Genomic DNA, 11,191 nt, shown 5'->3' with positions numbered 1-11,191 from the left:
TCTGTTTACACAATCATATAATCAATTGCCAGCTACCCAGAACCATCTGTCTTCAATTGTAATCTTGTATAGAATGATTAAAGCTGATTTAATGATATGAAAGTTATAGCAAGTCTATCACAAATGTGAAAGGAAGATAAATTATTTGCTTGTTTCTAGGTGTGGTCATTAGTGAAACACACCGTTTATTATATTTCTTAGAAATTAATTTTGAGTGTATAAAAATACATTTATTTACTTATTAATTTTTGATAAATATAAGTAGAATAAATACTTGAAATTCATTTTTTTCTTTACAGGCTATTTATTTAAAATGCGAATTCTTTAGAGAATAAACATGCTTAAAATTCTTTTGGGATTTTTAGAAAATATAAGAAGGCTTTGTAAGAAACATTAACAAATATTTTTGTTAAACATTCTAAACACAAATTTAAAATCAAGTAGTTCAAATAACATTTAAACGGATAATAATATTTATAATTGCTTTCCTTTAAAGGAAGTACATTTAGACTTACATTTGAAATATAATACCTCTAATGAGTATCATAATAGTGTCGTGTTTAGAGTATCATAATAGTGTTGTGTTTTGGTTTTATTCTATGTAAAACTCATAAGAACGATGCTTCTTATGGTTATAATAGATGACTGTACTGAGAATCAAATTAAATACACAGTATATTCAAACTCAGTATTTGATAGTTCTATTATAGACCTAAGACACAGATTAGTTTATTGGATTTAATGAAACAAAAAAAAAAGTATTTAAAAAAGTTATTTGCATATGCTTCCATGAAAACTATTTTGTAATTAATTATTCAACTGCTAACAATTCTACCAACTTTCTAAGTTATTTTAGGTTTCCATAGGAGAGAATGTTTATATGTGAAAAATGAAATAGAATCCTTGTTTGGAATAAAAGGCTTTTCTTTTTAAGTATTTATTATGAAAAACTTGGCTGCTTTCTCCTTCAATCTCATTGTATTATATCATAGTTAGGTGTGGTTCTGAGAAATCATTTACTCTAGCCAAGTTTTTTAAAAGTTTTACAATAATATCCCAAGTGAACCATTATCCTTGAGATGAGAGAAATGCCATATGGTTATAATGTATGTTGTCAGTATTCTTTTAGCGAAGCGAGGGAATGCTGACAAAATTTAACCTGGCATTTAAAAAAAAATTAGAAATGTGTTTCAGAAAATGTATTTCTCATGATCTAGAATGCTGACAAAATTTAACTTGGCATTTAAAAAAATTAGAAATGTGTTTCAGTAAGTGTATTTCTCATGATCTAGAGCAAAATTATAAGGATGAACATTCTATCAAGGTAATGATTAAGCTTCAGTTTTCCTAGTGGTTTGTCAACGACCTGTAAGACAAATTTAGAGGACATTTCTAAGAACTATATTTTTTTTCTCTACTTAAATTTTTTTAATGTTTAAATAAAATTATTAGAAATGCATGAAAAAATTCGAGGCATAATGAGTCAATTCCACTTTGAACTGAATTCTATCTGCAGATAGAGTAGATTGGTGCTTCTCTGGTGCTACACCTGGATACCTTAGATATTGCTTTCTTTTTCTTTTTTTTTTTTTCCACATGCATAAGCCTAAATAGCAATTCAGTATTCTACTTGCAAATCTTCATTTTAAACTGCATACTCTTTGAGCAGTGATAATGTATATTTTTATTTCTACCGTTATGCCTAGCATAAAGAAAATATTTAAAAAATGTTTATGGAGTTGACTTAAATTTAAATATTGGTTTAATAATAAACACTTAGTTGTGATGATAGCAAAATAAATTTTTCCTTCTATTTCTTGCAGTTGTGTTCTTTTTCCATGCAGAGATTTGCATCTATAGTCTAGAATGGGTGAGTGTCTCTAGGCAGGATTTTTGGAGTCTTGAAAAGTCAAAAAAAGATCCAGAATAGAACCAAGTAAATAGTGTGGTCTGAAATGGGTGTAATGACCAGGAACAGAAAAACAATGGCAGTCCTAGAGCCTTGAGAATAGATTCAGTCACCTATGTGTGGTGCAGAGTATGTGAGAACAGAAGACAGATAAGAAGTCCTGGAAAATCGAGGCAGAACTAGCTTGTAGCTTCCGCTCCGATGAACAGAGCAGCGTGCAAAGACTCACATTGTGAATTTTTTCTCCAAGAACTACTGCAGGAACATACCAGGAAAGCCGCGAGAATCCACAACGTTTTGAAGGAGCTGCATCGCTACTGCAGGCTCCCTGAGATGCTGAAAAAGTGTGAGTCTGCTTGCTTTCTCAATGGGGAGGCTCATGGTCTGGGACAAGTTCTCAGCCCTGTTCACTGGATGACAAGGTACTGTTGTTGGGGCACCATGGGAGTGGGCATGGCCTTTAGGACTGTAGGTTGTGTGGGAGTGGGGTTAGGTTTGTGACTGCTGGCTTTCCCCCACTTCCCTGGTGACCTATATGACTCAGCAGAGGGAGACACAATATTCCTGGGAATATAACTCCCTTGAATTTGGGAACCACACCCACAGCAGCAGCAGCAAGCCCTGCCCAAGAAAAGGCTGAGCTCAGACACACCTATCCCTGCGTTCACCTGGGGTCTTTCTCAACTCACCCTGGTAGCTGAAGACAAAGGTCATAATCTCTTGGGTGCCCTATGGCCCTGCCCATTGCCTGACAAATCTGAATACTTAACTAGGTGTCCCTAGGGCAACTGTGCATCCTGCATATAGGACCACAGCTGATGAGCTATTGAAAGTTCCACTTCCTGGCTAGAGGCCAACCAACACAAAACCAGCACACTAAACAAGAATACAACCAAGGACTCTCAAAGAGTCCACTTCACTCCCTTGCTGACTCCACTGCAGCAGGTGCTGGTATCCACAGTTGCAAGACCTGAAGATGGATCATATCAAAAGACTCATTGCAGACATTCTCCAGTTTCAGCTTGGAGTCCGCTACTCTGCTGGGTGGTTAGACCTAGAAGAGCAGAAACAATAACTACAGTTTGTCTCTTGGGAAGCACCATTCCTAGGAGAAGGGGGAGAGCACCATATCAAGGGAGCACCCTGTGGGACAAAATAATGTGAACAGCAGCCCTTGTATTCCAGATCTTCTCTCTGACATCGTCTACTCAAATGAGAAGGAAACAGGAAAACAATTCTGGTAGTATGACAAAACAAGGTTCTTTAGCAGCCCCAAAAGATCATACCAGCTCACCAGCAATGGATCCAAACCAAGACAAAAATCTCTGAACAGTCAGAAAGAGAATTCAGAAGGTTGATTATTAAGCTAATCAAAGAGGCACAAGAGAAAGGTGAAGTCCAACTTGAAGTCAAAAACATGATACAGGATATTAAAGGAAAATTCTTCAGTCAAATAGATAGCATAAATAAAAACAATCACAATTTCTGGAAATCAAGGACACACTTAGAGAAATGCAAAATGCACTGAAAAGTCTCAGCAATAGAATCGAAAAAGCAGAAGGAAGAACCTCAGAACTCAAAGACAAGGCTTTCAAATTAACTCAATCCATCAAAGACAAAGAAAAAATAATTTAAAAAGAAAACCTCCAGGAAATTGGGACTATGTTAAACGTCCAAATTTAAGAATAATTGGTGTTCCCAAAAAGGAAGAGAAATCCAAAAGTTTGGAAATCATATTTGAGGGAATAATTAAGGAAAACTTCCCTGATCTTGCTAGTGATCTAGACATCCAAATACAAGAAGCCCGAAGAACATCTGGGAAATTCATCCCGAAAAGACCATTGTCTAGCCACATAGTCATCAGCTTACCTAAAGTCAAGATGAAGGAAAGGATCTTAACAGCTGTGAGGCAAATGCATCAGGTAACCTGTAAAGAAAAACCTATCAGATTAACAACAGATTTCTCAGCAGAAACTCTGCAAGCTAGAAGGGATTGGGGTCCTATCTTTAGACTCTTTAAACAAAAAAATTATCAGCCAAGAAATTTTTTATCCAGGAAAACTAAGCTTCATAAATGAAGGAAAGATACAGTCTTTTTCAGACAAGCAAATGCAGAAAGAATTTGTCACTACCAAGCCAGCACTATAAGCACTGCTAAAAGAAGCTCTATATCTTGAAACAAAGGTAGTCAGGCAACAAATACCACCATGTATAGAATAATACCCCACATCTCAATACTAACATTGAATGTATATGGCCTAAATCCTCCATTAAAAGATACAGAATGGCAGAATGGATAGGAATTCACAAGACAAGTTTCCGCTGTCTTCAGGAGACTCACCTAACACATAAAGACTTGAATAAACTTAAGGTAAAGGGGTGGAAAAAGACATTCCATGCAAATGAACGCCAAAAGCATGCAGGAGTAGCTATTCTTATATCAGACAAAACAAACTTTAAAGCTAAAGCAGTTAACAAAGACAAAAAGAGACGTTATATCATGATAAAAGGACCAGTCCAACAGGAAAATATCACAATCCTAAATATATATGAACCTAACACTGGAGCTCCCAAATTTATAAAACATCACTACGAGACCTAAGAAATGAAATAGATGACAATGCAATAATAGTGGGGCCATCAATACTCTACTGACAGTACTAGACATGTCATCAAGACAGAAAGTCAACAAAGAAACAATGGACTTAAACTATACCCTAGAACAAATGGACTTAACAGATATTTACAGAATATTCTACCCAACAACTGCAGAATGTACATACTATTCATCAGCACATGGAATATTCTTGAAGATAGACCATATGATAGGTCTATCATATAATAGGTTCTGTGTCTTTTCCTTATTTTATTTATTTTGTTTTTGGGACAGTCTCACCATGTCATCCAGGCTGGAGTACAGTTGCACAAACTCAGCTCACTGCAACCTTTGTCTCCCAGGTTCAAGAGATTCTCTTGCCTCAGTCTCTCAAGTAACTGGGATACAAGCATGTGCCACCATGCCCAGCTTATCATTTTTCTTTTTTGTATTTTTAGTAGGGGTGGGGTTTCACAATGTTGGCAGGTTGGTCTTGAACTCCTGACGTCAAATGATCTGTCTGCCTCAGGCTCCCGAAGTGCCGGGATTAAAGGCATGAGCCAGAGTGCCCAGCCTTTTCTCCCTATTTTGGATCCCACATTATTGAGGTGATCCTAAAAACCAGTCTGCCTACAAAAAAACATTTCCAGTTTACTCTTGCTGTCCAGAAGTATTTATTATCTGTCACTTCCATTCTCAAAATTGTTCAAGTTTACATAAAAATAATTTGGTAGCACAACAATAAATACCCATTTCACTGTTACGTATTTATGCTTCCTAATTTTAAATATGCACATCTGTAAAATAAGAGAAGAAATAACAATTTATTTCTTGGAATGAAACAAACTGCATATAGCAAATGAGAAAAAAAAAGTTCAGAAAAGAAATGAGTGTTAAATGGACTGAGCTAAGCGCACTAATTATGAATATTATTATTCTTTAATTTAGAGTACCTTACTTTTGTAAAATAATTCAGAAGTGTAGAAGTGCTGTGAGGAAAGCCTCTAATGGTGACAAATCTCAAATCTTGATAATTTATCTATCTTCAATGGCTAAATAGGTATCTATAATAATATGCAAACACTTAATTTTTCACTAAAATTACCTGCATTTAGGTTACAGATTATAATACACTAGTAGTACAGAATAATGGTCTTGCATAAATAAAATAAAATTCAGACTCAGAAAGTGATCTTTATATTACATTTAAACTGGTAAATATCCATTTAACACTTCTGAATCTTACCTTCTTTTCCCCATTATGTAAGTTTTGACATAAAAGTTTTGGAATAAAGAATACAATTTCTATAAACTTAACATCGAGCAAAAGCAAATGATCAAATTATGTAATAATACTTTTTATGAAAGGTATAGAGGATACAGTATACGATAGTTACTTTTACTCTTTAGTTTCCATGTTGCTAAGAAAATATTTTGCACTTGTAAAAATGAATAACTCTATAGATCAGAGCATCATACAAAGCCAGAACTAGCTGATTCATCAAGAAAATCTGTTAACCATAGGACGGATATTTGTTTTTAAATAAACTGTTTTCTATGGATCTAAGCCATAACGTGAAGCAGAACTGTGGCTCAGAAGGTAACTGTCTTTTAGTATAGCCCAGTATCCTGGATTCAGTAGAAATATTTTACCTTCTTAGTGGTTTTCTGAATGTTTTTCAGTCAAATTTTCTTCTAACTTAAGAAAGCCACAAATGTATAGAACTGTACTTTTTAAAAAATGTAATTTTGTCTTGACATAGACTTGAATATCTTCATCGTTTATTTATTGCCCTTTGCTCACTGAAGTTTCTCAGTATAAGATTTCTGTCATAAATGTAACTTGTCATTTTACATTAAATCTAATTAATGGTTATCATATTAAGCGTGAATTTCATTCACTCTATAAATGAAAAAGACCTTCACTATTTTTCAAACGGAGAAATCTCACAAAAGCTAACAAACTATGTAATAGTTTATTAAAATTAATTTAATTTTATTGCACAGCATGCCTATTGTTTTCTAGTGACTGTACAGTACTCATATGAATATAAACAAATAGGGCCCTGTCCTCAAGTTGCTTACAATAGAATATCTTGATATCATTCTGCTCTTACCTTTAATAGTAAGCATTCTAACGAAAATTTCACATGATAGTAAAATTATTTCTCAAGAGAGTAGCTGTTATTTATTCCTTAATATTTAATTATATACTATCACTGTACCAGCTGCATATGTCCATTGTCTTAGCAAACAATCATAGCAATGTTGTCAGTTCTATTAGCAAAGAAAAAACTGAGTCTACAAGAAGTTGAAAATCTGGCCTAAGATCCTACAACTACTTGTGGCAGATTCAAGATAAGGTTAAGATCTCTCTAGCTTGAAGAAGTAAAATCTTTTCACAGTGGTATACATCCCTCTTTCTGAGAAATAAAATTGAAGATTAGTTATTGAATATGAAAATTTTGACTTATTTGACAAACTTAAGAATCAACCCCAGATCAAGCCTTGTCCACTATAATCAGCTTGATTTCTAATGTAGTTTGTTTCTACATGACATACAAATCATGATCTTTTAGAAGTGTATGTGTGTTGAGCAAACTGTCGCAAGGACAGAAAACCAAACACCGCATGTTCTCACTCATAGGTGGGAATTGAACAATGAGAACACTTGGACACAGGAAGGAGAACATCACATACCTGTCATGGGGTGGGGAGATGGGGGAGGGATAGCACTAGGAGAAATACCTAATGTAAATGACAAGTTAATGGGTGCAGCAAACCAACATGGCACATGTACACATACGTAACAAACCTGCACGTTGTGCACATATACCCTAGAACTTAAAGTATAACAAAAAAAGCAAAAAAACATTTTTTTAAGAAAAAAAAGAAGGGTATTGTGTGTACAGTATTTGTGGTAAACATGAACACATGAAACAATGTGACTTTTTATTCCATGATACCTTATGGATTTATGAGCCAATCAGGCATCCTGTAGACAAAGCCATGCCTTTTCTTCTGCATAACTGCTAGAATGGCCATGACAACTACAATACAAATAGAGGTTAATATTTGTGCCAATTTTAATCCATTTTTACTCTCTTCGGGGTGTGACATTAATTACAGGAGATTAGGAAGGGGAACATGAAGTTCATAAAAAGTCAAAACTTAATATGCCAATAATACATGCAATGAAAATAGGCAATTCTTAAAACATGTACCCCTTTAGGTGGAGTCTTGATGAAAATGCATCCCTAAGGGACTATTAGGCAGAACGTGATCCCAAAGTCTCTTCTCTTAATTAATTCACTCTTTGTGGTTTCAATTGGTTATCATAAAATATTCATCCAAAGAAAAAGAAACATGACTTTGCTGTGCTAGGATAAGACTGAGATCAGTGTAGAGTGTATGAGTCAGGCTATAAATTGAGTAAGATTAATTTTGTTTTCCTGGCGCTTTATAGCCAAATGGAATACTCCCGCCACGCGAGCTTTTGGCCTACCTCCTCAAACTATAATTGTAACAATTAAGAGAAAAATTCAGAGTTCTCAGATATACTTCTCAACATTTTGCAAATATGCAACCCTTTAACCGAATACGCTGAATATCTTTACCACAAGTTTTCTGTCATTATTTGTTAGAACGTACACAAACGCATACACATTTCACGTGTACACAAAAAAGAAAAATAATAGCTCATTAATAGCTCTTTCCAGAGTTCTTTAACCACCAAATAAGGTTGAATAGTATTAAGAATTGGAATTTAATTATTTTAATTCAACGCAGTAATTTATTAAAGACTGGTAAAATTTTAAATAACTATAACTAAACATTAAATTTACACACGCTAGATAATTGTGGATTAATCCCCATTTAAAGAACTAAGATGAATTTTGAAAGTGGACATCAGTGAAAAACTGTCAATGGGGCTTGATGCTTTGCAAGGAAGATTGTCAACTATAGAATTTTTCGTGTAATGTAAGAATAACATATTCCAAATTACATACAAAAAGAGCACATACACAAATTTGGCAGCCATTTAAAGAATGTATTCATATTTCTATTCTAGGAATTAGGCTACATGACTATAAATATAAAATTGGCATCTATGTAAATTATTTCCAAATAATTATTTCCAAATTATTCCAACCAGTCTGGAAGAAAATATCACAGCTGTTCCTGCATGATATTTTTGTGTACGTGTTACTGTGAATGTGTGTGTGTGCCTGTGAGTGTGCATGAGTGTGAGAAGAGAATTTTTATACTCTTTACAAATTACCTAGAAATCATGCAAATGCTCAGGACCAGGAGTTGAAACCAGGTTCCAGATTCCAGCCTTACGGTTTTGTGTATTCTGGCAGCTACTTTAACTCTCTGAAACTCTATTCTCCAATTTGTAAAATACAGGAGAAGGAATAAATTGTTCCCAAGATTCTCTTTTGCCTTTGAAAATCCCAACTATGTACATTTTACACTCCAACTCTTTTTTTTTTTTCTAGTTATTTTCAAAGGCAGTACTGAATAGAAAAGAAAAATGCAACAAGGATTTCCAGTAGGGGTTAAAAGACAAAAAGAGAAAAAATAAATAAATAAATCAAACTAAGAATTATCTAAATCTTACAGGATGATTAAAAGTAGTTTCAAACACATGTTCCAATAATGTTACATTATCACTTAAAAATGCCGACAGGGTTCTAAAATAAAATTATTTAAAAGCTCCCTTCATGACTACTAGAGATCGATTTTGATTGAGTGAGAATCAATCATGAAGAGTTGGGAGCAGAAGTTTTGGTCATTATTAATAGTAAACATACTAAAAGATTAATTTAGAATTCAGAGTACAGATAATTTCATAGAACAATGTGAATTAAAATCAATGTGCTTATCAGAAAAAAATGTGTATGATTTTCACTCATTTGGTGGTATAATATTCTTCTATTTAACACATTCTACACAGTTTTCCACATGGCTGATTGATAACTGCTCTGCTAACTGGATCTATGAAATGGAATGGAAGGAGTATTGAACTGTGAATAAAGAAAGACTGAACTGTAGAATCAGCTCAGCTCATCTAAATATTAATATTTGATAAGAGTTACACACTGTTGCTACCAATTTTTGCATCTGCATAATAAATTAATTGGAGAAGTTAATCTCTTAACTCTTTAAGTTAAATTCTGTAATTAAACTGCTAGGAAGTACATGATATTTGGATTTGTAAATACTGTACACCTATGATATATGTATATTCACTCATATATGACATAAATATCACACAAGTTAAGTACTTTACTCAGTACTTAATTATTTAGTATTTTTAAAAAGGTACCTAACTTTTTTTGAAATTATAAACCTGTTTCACATTTGAGGAAGACTTTAAATTCTGTAATATTTAGAAGAAATAATTAAAACAACTTAGAAATACCCTTGTGTGTAGTTTTCATTTAAAAACTATCTTTTTAATAAACAAAGAATCCACTTTAGAATTATTTATTGCAAGAATTAATGATCATACTATTACAAAGATTCCCAATTGTACCTAGACTATTGTCAAAAATCCAAGGAGTTATTGGATACCACACATCTGTTCATTGCTAAAAAATCTTATTCATTTAATTTATAGTTTAATTATAAAATTTGTTCTAAAAACCTTGGTAAAAGCTATGCTATTATTTTATTTAATATTTTAAATAAAATATTAAAATATAAAGAAATTATTCTGAAGTTCTTGATTTTTTCTAAAAGAAAGTAAACATGATGTGCATGATGTTTTCAAACTTTAATAGTATGCATTATGGAAACATATTTCAATGTGTGGATCATTCACCCAAAAGTATTTTTAATAAGATTTCATTTTATAACCATTTTAGATTTGCTATATTAATATGAAGATGCTGCAGAGAGTCTCCACACACCCCACACTCAATTTCCCCTATTATTAATATCTTGTATTGGTTTGGTACATTTGGCACAATTAATGAACTAATATTGAGTCATTATTAACTAAAGCCTCTACTTTAGATTTCCTCAGTTTTTTTCCTACAGTTTCTTTTGGGGTTCCAGAATCCTATCCAGTATGCTTCATTAGGTTTACAAGTCATGTCTTTCCAGCTTGTGATATATTCTTGGACTCTCCTTGTTTTTAATGACCTTAACAGTTTGGAGGATTACTGGTCAGGTACTTTGTGGAGTGTCCTTTAACTTGGATCTATCTGATGGTTACTCCTGATTACACAGAAATAATTTGTTTTGGAGGGAAAGGTCACAGAGGCAAAGTACCATTCTCATAACATCATAACAAAGGTGCATACTATGAGGATGACTTACCACTTATCAGTATTGAACCTTGATGACATAGCTTGATGTAGTGTTTGTGCAGTTTCTCTACTTAAACTTGCTCTTTTGTTTTCTCATTTTCTATACTGTATGGTAGGTAGAAAGCCACCATATGTAGCCCATATTTAAGGAGAGGAGAATTATGTTCCCCCTCCTTAAGAGTAGAGCAGCTAGATAAGTTATTTGGAATTCTTTTGCATGAGAGATTTATCTGTTCTCCTCTATTTAATTAATTAATTTACTTGCATTAGTATGGATTTGTGGATACTTATTTTATACTTTGGATTATAATCCAATACTACCTTATTTATCTTCCTTTCATTTTCTATCTTTGGCTATTGGGAGCT

The 11,191-nt window shown here is 33.4% G+C and overlaps 1 annotated feature.

Annotated features, from left to right (window-relative positions):
- Positions 1,842–3,041: an enhancer, noted in NCBI's record as "BRD4-independent group 4 enhancer chr7:80983381-80984580 (GRCh37/hg19 assembly coordinates)". NCBI's record gives its function as "activates an origin of replication core promoter dependent on BRD2, P300/CBP, MED14 and CDK7 cofactors, and independent of BRD4, by STARR-seq in HCT116 cells {active_cell/tissue: HCT116}" and the evidence as "EXISTENCE:reporter gene assay evidence [ECO:0000049][PMID:35650434]".

The sequence above is a fragment of the Homo sapiens genome, chromosome 7 (assembly GCF_000001405.40).
Source record: "Homo sapiens chromosome 7, GRCh38.p14 Primary Assembly".
Lineage (NCBI taxonomy): Eukaryota > Metazoa > Chordata > Mammalia > Primates > Hominidae > Homo > Homo sapiens.
Note: the sequence above shows the minus strand (reverse complement) of the source record. Positions and strands in the feature narration are given on the sequence as shown.